At 30.8% G+C, this 16,307-nt stretch overlaps 1 long non-coding RNA gene across 1 annotated transcript in view; it reads left to right on the top strand.

Annotated features, from left to right (window-relative positions):
- The window catches only part of LOC105370234 (uncharacterized), a 75,553-nt gene extending 59,492 nt beyond the window's left edge, over positions 1 to 16,061 (top strand). The window contains exon 3 of the long non-coding RNA XR_942013.2: positions 12,801 to 16,061. This is a non-coding gene — a long non-coding RNA (uncharacterized LOC105370234). The remainder of the gene's footprint in view (positions 1 to 12,800) is intronic.
- Positions 16,062 to 16,307: the final 246 nt, after the last annotated feature.

The following is a 16,307-nucleotide window of genomic DNA, read 5'->3' as shown; positions in this document are numbered from 1 at the left end:
TTTTATAAAAAAAAGGCTTTCAGGTTTTTCCCATTTCTTATTATGTTAACTGTAGGTTCATGATATATGGCCTTATTATTTTGAAGTATGTTCCATCTATACCCAGTTTTTCAAGTATATTTATCCTGAAGGGATGATGAATTTTATTGAATGCTTTTACAGCATGCATTGAAAGGATCACAAGGTTTTTGTCCTACATTACACTAATGTGATGTATCACACTTATTGATTTGCATACATTAAGCCATCAAGCAAACAGAACAAAGCTGGAGGCATCAAATTACCAGAGTTCAAAGCATACTACAAAGTTATAGTTACCACAACAGCATGGTACTGGCATAAAAACAAACACATAGACCAATGCAAGAGAATAGAGAACCCTGAAAAAAATCCACATACTTACAGTCAACTCTACGACAAAGATGCCAAGAACATACAATCTCCTTAATAAACAGTTCTAGAAAACTGGATATCCATATGCAGAAGAATGAAACTACACCCCTCTCTTTCACCATATACAAAAAGCACACCAAAATGAATTAAAGATTTACATGTAGAACATGAAACTGTGCAACTACTAGAGGAAGACATTAGGGAACCCCTTCAAGACATTGGTCTTGGCAAAGATTTCTGAAATTCAAATGTCTGTGTGTCCTTGCTTAGATTAGAGTTTGTTGTTGTTACAGCTGTCTTTTCTCTCTTTCCTTTTCTTTTTCTTTCTTTCTTTCTCTTTTATTTCTTTCTTTTTCTTTCTCTCTTTCTTTCTTTTTTTCATTCTTTCTCTCTCTCTCTTGCTTTCTCCTTCCCTCCTTCCCTCTCTCTTGCTCTTTCTTTCTTTCTTCTTTCATTCGTGTAATCTGTGATCATGTCAATGTGTAAGAATCTTGTTTCTGCAAGATAGTCCATGCATACATAACCAAATGGAATAAAAATTGAGTAATTCTTCAAAGGCATAGTACAATATACATAAAGTAAATATAGATTCCAATATAATTTTGATGGTATATAAAATGGACTTCTGTAATAGAATTTTTTCTAAGTAAATTTAAGCTATTGATGCTGGCATTTTCTATATTGGGCTTAAATTCTTACATCATTGAAGAAACAAAATTATTGAAAATCACTTATTACCATGAAGATTCATCTACTGATATATGTTGATATAATTTTTATGAGGGAAACAAATATTTATGTAAAATAAAATTTCCATGTGGTACAAAAAAATTATAATATTTAAAAATATATATGAGAGTTTACTAATTATAAAAAAGCACATAATTCTACAACAAACATTTTTGAGTATACTAGATGTAAAGGCATGTTTTTGATTATTTATATTGTTTTGTTGTTTACTGAACACTTTAGGGAAATTTATAAACATGAGTCTTTTGAGAAAATTAAATTTTCATAATGGGAACTTCCAATTAGTTGATGTTTGACAAATATGCTTATACCTCATTAAATATGACTATCGTGAACTACATCAACAAAACGCATCTGTTGATGACATATGGGAGACATTTTCAGTACATTTTTAGTACATTTTTAATGAAAAGGATCTCCTCTGAAATTACTCATTCAATTCAACCTGTCATCACCAAGCACTTCTGTGCCATCCCTTTGAAAGATTGCATTGATATGTTATACAATAACACAGACGTTCAGATTAAAGTTTGTTAGTCACTCTAGGATAATTTACCATAGAGAATTAAATAATGTAAAATAAAAACTAAATATCACTTCCAAGCATCTAGGCAAGCTTACTACTAGACCTATACATTTTTGTGCTTCTCCTGGATTGCTCTTTAAGGGGTAAAAGCTCATAGAAGTAACAAGGCTCAGCATGTCCAATATGAAAAAGTGTGTATGTGTCTGCAAAAAAGAATAAGTCTGGAGAAAGAGATTTTGAGGTTTGAAAAGAGATAGACTATTAATTTTTGAATTGACTAAAATAAAAAATAGATATTAGAGAAAAACATTTAGTTTGTTTTTAATATGACTGCAGATTTTGAGTTGAGAAGTTATATATATAGTAAATATATATATAGCAATCTTATATATACATATAAGATTACATACACATATAATCTTTCACACAGTTGCAACACACTAAATTCATTGAAGAAATAGGAGTTAAGGGTACATTTAGAGGAAGGCTGAAAGCCTTGTAATCCAGCTGGGTCATTTTGACTGGTTTTTGAAGCCAGTGGAAATTTAGTTAAAAAACATAAACAGAAGAATATTATAAACACATTGACATTTGCAAAGATAAATCTTGCAGAAATTTATAAAAATGTATCATGTGATGGCAGCATTATAGTCTGAGATACTAGATTATAGACTGTCCAATAAATTCTAGCAAGAATGTACAGCAACCTAATGTAATAAAGAAGAAAAAACAATAAAACGTGTAAATATTTTACAAAAAGTAATCACTTTATAATTCGGTTCAGTAAGGCAAAAGGAAGATACATGAATGTTTTTCATATTTATATCTTAATGGATTGGATTGATGATGGTGTGAAACATCAAGATGGGAAATATAGAAGAAGCAGACACACAGCAAGTGAGTGACAAGTTAAATTTTGAACTGGTTGTGTTTGTGATATCTGTGGTAAATTCACATGAGCAGCATAATATCTGGGGTTTTAACTTCATAAAAGAGACTGATCAGCAGACAGTAGTTTAAAATTAACCACCCGATATTGGTAGTCTGTGCAAATTATAAATGCGTGTTCCAGGGTACAAGTAATATAGGATGAGAAGAAAACTGAACCTGAGAAAAACTATGAGCAATTAAAAATATATAGTAAATAGGGGAAGAAGAGGATCACACAAAAGAAAGTGAGAATGGACATTCAGGAAAAAGAAAGATACAGATTCTGAGAGGGAAGATGAATTTAAGAATGGGGAATTGATTAGCAATGTTATATGCTATATAACATTCATAATGTTATAATAGTTTAAGATAAGAATTTTAAAATGTCAAATGGGATTAGCCTAAATGAAGTCTTTAGTCACCTTATTGAGGGAGAACAGCTTTACTGAAGAAATATGGGAAGAAGCTGAAAAACAGTACATGCTACATAGAAGATGTAGAGTTATCATAGGGTGACCATATGCTAAGAACTTACACTTCTGAGAGTAAAAAGCAGCACTGAATTATTATCATATGAATGAATGTTTAGACAAAGACAATGTTACACTGGAAACAATGATAAACTAAAAATTTCCTAAACATAATAGGATATATGACCATCCCAAGAACAAATTATTTATATATTGTATAGTATTAGAACAGCTATGACTTCATTAAGATTTTGTGTAGAATAAATAGAAGCTAGCACTGACTTAGTACTTAATGGCAGGTCTTCTTCTAATAACGACATATAACAACTCACTCGTTATTAGAGTAATGAGTGGTACTATGTACCTCAAGGGCAGGTAGTATTACAATGACATTGATTAAGGACAGAAAAATAAGGCACAGTAAGGTTAAATAAATTGCTTAAAATCATACAAGTTTTTAGCTCCCACAAATTTGTCATGTAATTTTAAGCAATTTACTTAACCTTACTGTGTCTAGTCAATAATAATTTAATTGTACCTCTTAAATAATTAAAAGAGTATAATTAGATTGTAACACAAAGGATAAATGTTTGAGGTGATGGAAATCCTATTTACCCTGATGTGATTGTTACACATTGCATGTCTGTATCAAAATACGTCCTGTATCCCATAAATATATACACCTACCATCTAACCACAAAATTAAATTTTTTTTTAAATCGCACAAGTAAAAATAAGAGTCAGGATTTGAACCCCATCTTTGCAGTTATTGAGGGCATATTTTTAAACAACTCCATTGTATTGTCTTTGGGCTCAGTTTGTTACCATAATACTGTACTCCAACATTATAATATGCTTGGTGTGTTTGTGTGTGTGTGTGAGAGAGAGACACCTTTCCTTAGACACGGTAAATAATACCAACTGTGAAGGGCTAATATCAAATAAAGAACATGGATGACCAATGAATGAAAAAAATGTCCTGGAAATTAAGTGACCGAAGGAAAGTAAGTTGCTTAGACAATTAAGTGAGCGAAGGAAAGTAAGCTGCTTAGACATGTATCTTATGAAGTTTAGTAAAGCGATGCTAAAAATCATAAATCAATGTATACCTCTTAAACTGTGTTATGTGATCAGTTCACTTATATCATAGGACAACAGTGTCAACATTATAGATGATATCATTTGCACATGGAAATTAAATACTAAACCCTTACAAAGATCTACTGAATCAAATGTTTTTTATTTGGGCTTTTGACATTAAGTGGTGACATCTTTTATGGGTCCCATACTGTCTTGAATTTCTTCAGCCCCAGCAAGAGATAATGGATAAACAACTTAATTCAGCCCAATAAACCAGTGGGGTAGCACTGTGTATGCAGTCAATTGTTTAAACAGGAGACACAACCTTCTTAGACATTTAATTAGATCTGAGATACATATGAAAAAGAGAAGTGAAGAAAAGAAGGCTTTAATACTTGTTAAATATAATTTTTCTTGAATGAGTGGCTTCTCCAAAGTAAAGGGCAAACACCACAAATTGCACATGAATGAAAGAAAATTATATAGCAGATGCTAATATAATATCAATATACTTTAACAATATTCACTAAAATAAGCAGGGATGTAATTGGGAAAGTGAAAACCCAATTAACCTGCTTAACCTGCTTATTTAGGTTATAAGTTGCTAGCATACCTTGCATATCATTTCAGTAGTGTGGAAATACTTGGTGAATTCAAATGAATTTAACACAAAGCAAAGAGTAAAATATGCAATTCTAAAGGAAAACATGAAGCAATATTAGATTAAAGTAGACTAAATTACGATATTAAATATCCAGCATTGAAAAAGCTTATTTACCACATCCCACAGATATTTTAATTCATATAGTAAATAGCATTTCAATTAGAAATGGAAAATGACCAAGTGCTATTCATATATAGGACTGAGAGTATGTACTGCACAGTCCTTAATATGCTACTTTTGCAAACCAAAAGCAATTCAATTATTGCATTAAAAAGCACTGCAGAGATATCTGGAAGAATGAGTTGTACAAAGAGGCAGGGAGAAGGAGGATGGAGCTTTGGGTCTCTTTCCCCTTAAAAGACAGATGTGATTGGAGAAATTGAGAAACAAGTTCAGTGAAAATTGCAAACATTCTGTTGAGGGTGTGTAAAGGCATCTTTATATTTTGCAAATATATGAAGAGGAATTGTATTTTCTCTTAAAATTCAGTATGCAGTTCATTTCAAATTCCCATATGACTTCAGCTACACCTCATGGCATCAATGACTACCTGCTGTGGTCAAGGACATTATGAAAACTGATTGAAAGCTGGCAATTTATTCTACTGTGAAACCATTTAATATTTCCTAAAGCGAAATGATATACACTTAATGTGATGCAGAAAGCTGAGCAACATAAACAATAAAACAAAAATTATTACTTGGGAGACTGGCAGAAAATAGTTATAAGATCATCTCTCCCTGTTATTATGGGTGATTCATCATTACTCATCTATGTGTTCAAAACATGTAAGACATCCTGAGTTTCCTCCTGCTTACCAATTTTAGAAGTGCTTTTTTAAATTGCAACTGATTTTTAACCAAAATTATATGCCACAAGAGTACGTCATTTATATAGAAAAGCATTTTACACTTTCCCCTTTTCTTTACCTTCTTGCCAGCATGATGCAATCTCAAATAGTAGTAATATATAATAGAAAAACTTTGTAAAAGTAACTTCAAATAAAATTCATACTTGAAGGACTTTTTCCCAAAACTAAGATAATTTTAAGGAAGCTGGATTGATTCTTAAAAACAAATTTACATTACTATTAATGATAATTGCATGTTCATTATAAAAGTTCTTCAGATACATTTGTTTTAATTTAGAAATACTAAATATTCTAAGTTCTTAGCAGATTCCATAGGCTTAATACTGTACGAATGCAAGCAAAACCAAGAGATGACTTTATGCAAGGTTTTTACTTAAGGATTTAAATACTAAAGTAGTTAATATTGAGGTTGTTGATGTTTTAAATGTAGCCTAATTGATTCATATGAATAAATATTATTTACTGCTGGTATGTCTGCAGAGTGAACAATACTCTCTTTTTACCTTGAAATTTATAAAATGCTGATGTTTCTGCTAAAATACAGATGAGATTGCTTGGCTTACAAAAGGTTGAGTGTAGGCCTCTCTGCACTGAACATTTTCACAAAGAATATGACAACTTCTGTAGATTTAGTTGTTTCTGTCTTTAGAGAGCAGTTAAAATCTCTCTTTATTTTTCTAGGATACTAAACTTAATTAACCTATTCGATAATGCAAACAGAATTTATTTGTAAGTAAATATTTCTTTTGCATGCAACAACATGGTGTTCAACACCTGCTATATTCTCTTTTATTTTTCTCTATAGGTAAATTATGTGGCTATACATTCCCAGAAAGAAACATATTCAGTAAATATTTCAGAAAATAATACACCATATAATGTAATCTCTTTTCTTATAACATAAACCATTTGCTACAAACACACATTTCTGCACATTAGGTTCAAATGCAATATTTAAGCCAGAGGCATTATCTAAGATTCATCCAATATTTGAATGATTTCTGTCCAGATTATGGCCTAGTGAAGCATTATGACATTTATTTACAAGATATACTGGCAGAAAGTTTTCTATTTTCTATACACAGAAAATCCCATTAATATGGTTCTTTTAGGAAAAATAGTAAGCAATCTAAAAATAATCATAAATGTCTGTTAATAATGATATATGAATACAAAAATATTTTCGCCCATTTCCATTTTTATTTCATTGGTCATCAAAGTTTGACAAGTGAATCAGTAAACCTTCCAAATTTAGATGAAGAAGGAGGAGGAACAGGCAAAGAGGGAAGAAGAATAGAAATTATCACTTCAGTTGTCGTAGTTGTTAATGTCCCAGAAAACTATTGAAAATGGAATTCCTACAGGAGAAACACTTGCATTTACCTTTGGAGAGAAAAATACAGACAGGAACATCTAACCTTTAATGTGAAATAAAATTTCAAAACAAAAACAAAAAGGATAAAATCAAAGATTTTCAGATTATGGCCAGATACTAATTTAATTTTGTGTGTTTCAATCTTGGTGATAAATTTTAACAAAATTTATCTTTAAAACATTACAATATATTAATGTTGATGCAAGTATCTGTTCATTTGTTCAACTAATATCTATTTAAAATAATCTATTTGAAAGTACTTCAGCAACTAGAGGTAAAACTACAACTGTTACTTCCAAATAATTTGTGTAAAAGTACAAAATTAGGAAATAACAAAAATCAGTGATAGATATAAACAGTAATATACAAGTCACAGATATATAAGGTACTAATATGAAGACTTTGCAAAGTATGATATTTTACAGTTCAATTTCAAAAAGTTTTAATGACAAGATGATGATGCCTTGTTTATCGTATGAGTGACAATAAAAGGAAATGAAAATAATGAATAATACCCCATGCTTCATGTGAGTTGATATAAAAACGTGCTGTCTAATGCAAAGGTAATGTTCTTTAAGACCATTATATAGGAAGATAAAAGTTTTGCATATCTAGAATTATTCAAGAAATAAAGAACATCATATATGTACCTTAATGTACAAAAATATCCAGTAACTGCAAGTGAGTTTGTTCTGGAAGAACAGAAATAGTTTATAAGTCAAAATTTAAATCCCACTATTTGTCTTAATATTGGGCTTGTGTAAGTTGTCGAAGGCATTGGGGGTCTAGGGTAAACTCTGCTGCATTCTTAATTTTTAATCCATTGAGAGAAAGAGCAAGAGAGAGCACAGAAGCACTTGTTCTAAAGGAAGTAGACTAGAGGACCTCATACTTAATATGGTTTTACTGTGTCCCCCAGCAAATCTCATCTTGAATTGTAGTTCCCATAATCCCCACATGTTGTGGGAGGGATCCGATGGGAGGTAATTGAATCATGGGAGCGGTTACCCCCAGGCTGTTCTCGTGATAGTGAGTGAGTTCTCATGAGATCTGAAGGTTTTATAAGCGGCTTTTTCCCCTTTGCTTGGCACTTCTCTCTCCTGGCACCTTGTGAAGAAGGTGTCTTGCATGCCCTTCAGTTTCTACTGTGATTGTAAGTTTCCTGAGTCTTCCCTGGCCATGTGAAACTAAGAGTTAATTAAACCTCTTTCCTTTCTAAATTACCCAGTCCCTGGGTAGTCTTCACAGAAGTATGAGAATGAACTAATAAAATCCTCAACTAGGTATTTTAAACCAACAGTAAAGGAAGTGTTTTTTGTGAATAAGGTTACTACTTATATAAGATTTCCGTAATACATGAAGGAATCCTACAAAGGTCAGAACCTCTTCATAAATCATACACTGGAATAGGTAGTCACCCAACCTTTAAGAGAATTGCTACATAATTATCAATGTACATTATGTATACATGTATATATATATTATATTTAAGACATGACAATATAATTAGGTATTTGTATTTGATAAAATATCTTTAATTTTAGAAGATTAACCCCATAAGTTTCTTTATGTAAATTTGACTGTATTCACTATTATATAAAGATCTTTTTGATCACATGCAATGCAGATAATGATGTACTACCAGTCCCATCAATATTTATTTATCCTGCCCCATCCACTGGGATAATGGTCCCTTAAACAAAAATTGGAACTGATTTATCATGATGTAATATGTGGATTAAAAAACTAGAAATATATGATAAATTCAGCCCTAGCTTTGATTACAACTTTTTATGCATAGGATCAGGCTTGGAGCAAATGTTTTTGTGTGTGAAACATATACACATACTAAAATATTTGCCCTTTATAATGTATAGTTTAATATGTGAAATATATCTCAATAAATATGTTTAGTATGTGAAATATATCTCAAATTTATTGATGTATATTTCAGAATTTGAGATATATTTTACATACTAAAACATTTGCCCTCTACAATGTATAGTTTTAACAAATGTATACAGTCATGTAACAGCCACTGTAATTAATATGTAAAGCTTTCCCATAACAGCAGATAGTTTCCTTGTGACCCTCTGCCATCAACCAATTCATACTTTCTTTATTCATTGAACCTGCATCCCTTCACTCATCACACTGCATTCAAGAGTTACCCAGGCTTGTATTGATAGTTGGTTCTTTTTATTACTACCTACTATTTCATTATGTGAATAAGTCTCACTTTGCTTATCCATTCACCAAATGAACAGCATTTGGGTTCTTTCAACTCACTGGTGACTACCAAAAGAACTGTATAAAATCTATGTACATTTTTATATGAAGATAAGCTCTAGTTCCAAAAGTTAGTAGTATGAGTTGGATTAGTGGGACATGATTAACTTTATAGTAACTACCACACTGTTTTCTAAGTAATGTATAATAGCTCCAGTTGCTCTAAATCCTCATAGCACTCGCCATTGTTGTGCATTGTGTTATTTTGTTAAAATTCTAGAGCTGTGTAGATGAATCTCATAATTTTAACTTTAGCTTCCCTAATAAGTAATGACATAGTTATTAGACACCATATTCTCAAGGGTGAGTCAAAATTTTTTTGATAACTCCAGAAAAACCAGTTTTCTATTAATTAAAAAAGAAGAGCAAAGTAGATTATGAGTTAGTTGATCATTAACTATTTATGTCACAAACACTAATAATATCCTGTTAATATTTTGCCTCTCAGTTCTGAAGCTAGATATACTTTTAAAAGATGTAAAAAGCCCAACCACTTCTTACACATTCTCAGGTCTCACCTTGGCTTATCTTACCATTATTTCCCTCAAGATTATTAAAATAGCATCCTAACAGTACTCTTTACTTTCACACTTGAACCTTGCCACAGCCTATATTTTCACAGCTTGAATAAGCCTTTTCGGTCTTAAATCGGACATAATCACTGTTTATCCCTCTAATGGCTTCCTACCTCACTCAGAACAAAAACCAAACCTTTAAAATGAAACAATCCACAGCTGAACTTAATTGCTAAAACCTTCAGCATCCAAGGGAAATTATTATGAGTGCAGTGTCTATGATAGATTGGAAGAAGATTCCTTGAACAAGAAAACCACAAAAAATTAAATGGGGTAATATAGGAATAGGAGAGTAAGAATCTATTTTAGAATGATGTCAGCTGGATTCAAGAAACAGGGGACATATTGTGAAAAAGTATGGGTGAGAGATCTATATAAAATATAAAGAAAAATAACTTCTTAATATACTATCTTTAGTTATTTTATACATAATAATTTGATACTGACTATATATTTCTAGCACTGCTAGGCTCTGAAGCTAAAATAATAGATAAGCCAAAGTGTCTGTTCTGTATTAGCCTGTCGTCCAGGAGGGTCATAAAAATAATAGGAGTTAAAGAGAGAGAGAGATGCGCTGGACAGCAGGTGCCCACCTAACATAGCAGGAGGACTCAAGAAACACCCTGCAGAGAAGATAATAACCATGCTCAAACCAGAGTAACTTTAAGTCCAGTGAAATGAAACAAGATTAAAGGTACTCCAGGAATTCATAGCAAAAGATACAAAAGCATGGAGACAGTGCAAAGGATGAGATTCAGGTTAAACACAATGTGAGCCATCAATAGAAACAGAATTGCTTAGAAAATTGTATTATTAATAGTTACTTTTCAAGTTATAAGGATGTCAAGATAAGTTACTCGTCTGAAGAAAATTAAATAAAATTTGTAATGATGTCAAGATAAGTTACTCCTCTGAAGAAAATTAAATAAAAATAAACTGATGAGTCAGTAAGAAGGATGCAAAAAAGAGAAGAGAAAATTAGAAAATAAACTTAAAATAAATATATACATTGTGTGTGTGTGCATACAAACATGAGTTAATGGAAACTAAGTAACCCTTACAAATCTATTGATAATGCAAGTTTATTAATGAGTAAATATTTACATAAATACTCACCTCTCTTTAAATTTTTGTAAGTTTCAAATAAATGCAATAAAAAATTTTTTAATTGACTTAGGCCCAATTCAGAACTAGACTGATGTACCTTAGTAATGTTATTGCTGAAGATAATATAATAGTTTTTTGAAAAAATCATGAAGCTATCATGTTCAATTAGTGACTTCACAGATTAAAAATTGAGATTCAAATTCATTTATTCTTCACTGAATATACATAAAGCTATATACAGAAAATCATTAAAAAATAGAAGTTTATAATTGAAACATTGTTTTAATGATCACGTGCTCTCTGTATTGATGGTTTAAAAATTATAAGAAAATTTATAGATTTCTTATATATAATTTATATTTCTACACATCCTTATAACTTCACTTTTATTTTACATAGATAAACTAAATTTTTTCATATTTAAAATTTTGGATATCTATTTTTCTACTATTGTACATTGAAAATGTTATGATTTATCTCTCTACACTCTAATATGACAATAATGGGAAAGGGTTCTTAGGCTCCAAATTTCTACAAATTGTTATTTAATTGGATATATCTACTCACATATTATTTGACTGAAAATCATCAGTTCTGACAATGCTTTTACCTCAAACCTTTGCATTATCATGTAGAATAGTTACTTGGTGTGCTTTTCTCTTTTTCTTATTAACTTACCTAAGAGATGCCTTTATGTAGAGTTCATCTTCAATTTTTCTATATTTCTTGCAACAAAGTTTGGCACACAGTAGGCAGTTAGTAAAGGTTATTAATAGAAAGTGTTAGATACAGTCTTCCTTTATTTTCTGCAGTATTAAAAGCCAATGTACTACTTTTAATTTCTGAAGAAAAATAATATAGAAGTAAAAATATATTTTTTACTGCCAAAATTCATTTTCCATGCAGACCTACTCCTTTTGTTACCTATTACTGTTACTCTATTTCTTAACTTTGCATGCTATGTCTCAAATGATTAATGTAATTTAAAATAATATTGAATAAGAGAAATAGCACTTTTTTAAATGACTAGGCTAGGCACTTCTCAGGTCAACATTTGTTTCTGAGTGGAAATAAAACTCAACTATTACTAGCAATGTCATTACAGTATCAATGAATGTAAGGATACATTTACCAAAAAAAAGGTATTTGGCTTTCTGCAAATACCATTCACGTAAATTATATATATGTATTTATATAGTTATATAACTTTACTTGTTTTTTTCTTTACTGTTTTTCAATGTATTTTGTTACCTACATGAAACTACAGTGAAATTTTTCTACTTATAAAAGCAGACATCTATTTGGGGAAAAATAAAATCCCTGAATGTATTAGTGAACTTTATCTTGGAGACTTTCTGATTTAATTGATGTAATCTGACCTTGCCATTAGTCTAGCTGGAGGCAAGCTATTTCTGTCTGCATTACTTTTCATTATTGCTTCCTTGTAGAAATTCAGTACCTGCTGCTCCATATAAATGTATGACAAAGCTAAAGAACATAGTACAGAAAGTCATCCAATTTTCATCTGCCATTTTCCCATCAATGTGAACACACAATTGTATTCTTCCTAACCTTCATAGTTAAAAGATGATTATTTCAACTGAAATTTGGAAAACCTACATTCCGACTTGAGATTTAGAAGAAAATTGATATTCCTTATTTATCTAATGTCCAAGCATCATCAACCATGATATAAATCACTTGAATTTCCTAGCAACTTTTTTTGCAGTGGTGCCTAAGCTTATTATTAATTTACTCTGTTCTTCCTAGGTGCAGAGTGGAGACAATCAAGTCATATATCACATAAACAATTAAAAACTCTCCTTTGGCTGTAAGCTTTTTGAAATGATGAAGTGCTGGTACAGAGTGAGCTGTCCTTGAGTTACTTTCATTGGTAAGTATTAGACAGCATGATGAATTTTTTACAAGCCAGACATTTGAAATAGTGTCTTCAAAGCTGTGTCAGCTGCCTATTTATCTTTATTATGGCCTAGAAACTGATAGCAAAAATACAATGTTAGTGCATGTATTACATTAACAACAATTATGGGCTTTATTTTTTCTTAGAGATGAGTGCAGGAAGAAAATGTGCTTTTACAGCAATGTCATTGCTATCTTTTCCCCTCCAAAGATAAAAAGTAATTTCAACGTAGATATGTGATTGTAGTTAAAAATTAAATTATATTCTATGCTCAAAAGTAAATCCTTATGAGAATAAATTCAATTTTATAATCTTCCTTATAAAGTATAGGTGACAAGTATTTTAAAGCATAGACATGTTTAATATTTTATAAAATAGGTACACTGATGTACTGTCTTTGTCTTGAAATAATTCTCATTAGTGCAATGATATAGTATATATCTCATATCCATATAAAAACAGATTTTCTCACATTTTGTATCCTTTTTTCTAATGAATTTAAATTAAGGATATACATATACTGGTGTATGTCAATCTTATTGTCATTTCAAAAAAAAATTTTTTTTTTTTCTTGAGATGAAGTCTCGCTCTATTGCCCAGGCTGGAGTGCAGTGGCACGATCTTGGCTCACTGCAAACTCCGCCTCCCGGGTTCAAGCAATTCTCTGCCTCAGACTCTCGAGTAGCTGGGATTACAGGTATCTGCCACCACGCTGGGCTAATTTTTGTATTTTTTAGGGGTTTCACCATCTTGGCCAGGCTGATCTTGAACTCCTGACCTTGTGATCCACCCGCCTCAGCCTCCCAAAGTGCTGGGATTACAGGCATGAGCTACTGAAAAATTATTATTTTAAAGGAAAACTGATAAATGATATTACAAATATATACATAGTCATCATTGTATTTGTAATATAATCAATATTGTTTTAAGCTGGAAGGAAGATGACTCAGCTCAAACATTACATGAGTATGTTACAAAAACAGTCTAGCATACACATATCCTTTTCTATTTTAAGGACACAATGCAATACTGAAGGGCTACATAACTTACGTAGAGCTAGTCAATGTTGAAACTGGATCCAAAGAATGCTCTTCCAACTCCAATTTAGAATTCCTGCCGGGGAGTTGCTGTTCCTCCCAGGGCATGTATATGTCTCTGTTGGTTTCTGTTTACATCATGGCTCTAAGTTAACATTGCAGATATTTTCAGCAGTATTCACTATTATTAATGTTACACATTTAAATATTAACAAAATATAACGTGGATTTGCTAAATGAATTTTTAAAATCACAAAATTACTATTATCATGACTAACACTATTTGTATCCTGATGAATAGAGCTACAGAGACACAAACATGTATATACAAACAGACACACACATGTGTTTGCAACAGTATTCTTAAATTATTCGCTACTCTGATGAGATGTCATTGTGATAAAATTATATCCACATAAAAATTACTTAGAAGCAGTCAACCAAATTTAGAGCCATCTGTGTTTATTGTGTACAAAATGAAATTGAAAATTTGAACTGTGAATAAAATAAAGAGGCATGGGTTTTCATATATGAGTCTATATACCACACATAATTGATATTAAAGGGGACATCAAAGTTTATATGCTTACAATGATAATCAGATTTAAGTTTTATATTTGTACTTTATAAAAACTAAAGTTTTTTTGTTTTAATTTGTTCATCTGTCTTATTAAAAATACTCTTAATTAACCTGGAATAAAATGTTTCAAAGGACAAACTGAATTTGATTTTTAATATGGGTATTCTACAACAGCATAAGTTCTCAACAGATGAGTTCAAATTCATCCCATCTTAATCTCATTTGTCTCAAATATTCTTTGCTCATTTACCTTTTGCTCAACTCTTTGCAGCCCATTATGTTTATATTTGCAGGCCCCACAGCACTACCTAACGCCATCTCTACCATTAACAAGCTGAGAGATTTTAAGTAATCATTTCTTTGAACAATATAATGCATAAATCAAATTGATTATCATTGTGATGAAATGTATTTGACATAAAAGAAGTCTCTAAAATATGGTCTATCTACATCAAATATTTTGTTAAATAGTATTAGATGAATAAATATTGATATTGATGCCAAAAAATATGCTACTAGTCTCATATGTGCTTTTTTCTTTTCTTAAAATAAGACTATGTAGCATGCATTCTATTACATTTTTGTAATTGAAAAATGTATCTTTGACTTATATCAATTGCATTTCAAGAAAAGTAGTCATAAAAGACAAAAATATTGCTTTAAAAATATATTAAGTTTATTGTTATCAAATTCCTTCAAATTTTTATGAACAATTAAAGTTACAATATTAAATTACAAATAAAGAAACTGGATATTCTGGTAACTTCCAGGGGGAAATTGTTGGAAGCCATCTGTATAATAATAATTTTAAAAAAAAAGCTTTTTCTCAATTGGAAAGCACCATCAAAGTTATCTTAACTTTATGCAACACTTTGACCTATTTTGACAAGAATAGAGTTTGTAAAGAGAAACAGAATTTGTATAACTTTTCTGAGTTCATAGCTTCATACACCTCTTACACTTTGCTTGGCTAAGAAAAAAGGCTATTATTTCCAGTTAAAATCTTATCTTCAGTTACTTGAATTTGGTATCTCTTCAAGGACATTTTAGTGTTACGTATCAAGGATGTCTAGTTTACCACACTTGTAAACGTATGTTGCATTCTTTAATTGAGGTCCTTGTGTGTAATTTGTTAAATGTCAATTTCCATTATCTCCATGTACTACCTGCTGAAATTGTCTTCAAGATACAATTTTGTATCAATTTACATCCAGCTCCAGTACAGTTAATCTTGTATTATGCTATGTTTACAAAAATTTTTTTCATATCTCTATTATAACATTTGTCATATTAATTATATATTTTAATTCATTATAATGTGAACTAATTAAAACTGAAAACATCATTTCTGTATACTTACCATTTAAGAGAATGGATTTTTAGAAATGGCTTGATGACTAGTAGGAATAAGGGGGAGAAAGTAAGTGAAAATTAAATTGAAGTAAAGAAAAAATGAAAAATAAAATAAAAAAGGAAGGAAGTAAAAAAAGAAAGAGAGGGAGGAAGGAAGAAAAAAGAAAACAATGAAAAGGAAGAAAAGGGAAAAGGGAAAGAAAGGATAATCAGGAATGCTTATGTCTGGCAGAGCTGTGTAAATATAGTCTCTTTAAGGTTGACTACTGGTTGCTCCTTCTTAACGTTGATTTCCTCCTGCTTACACCTATGTTGTTAACTATAATCTCTTCAATAGAATGTGTCCTTTAGGAAAATAATTAGTATCAGTCAATAATTACATTACT

This window comes from Homo sapiens, chromosome 13 (assembly GCF_000001405.40).
Source record: "Homo sapiens chromosome 13, GRCh38.p14 Primary Assembly".
Taxonomy (NCBI): Eukaryota; Metazoa; Chordata; class Mammalia; order Primates; family Hominidae; genus Homo; species Homo sapiens.
This window is presented reverse-complemented; position numbering and strand designations above follow the sequence as displayed.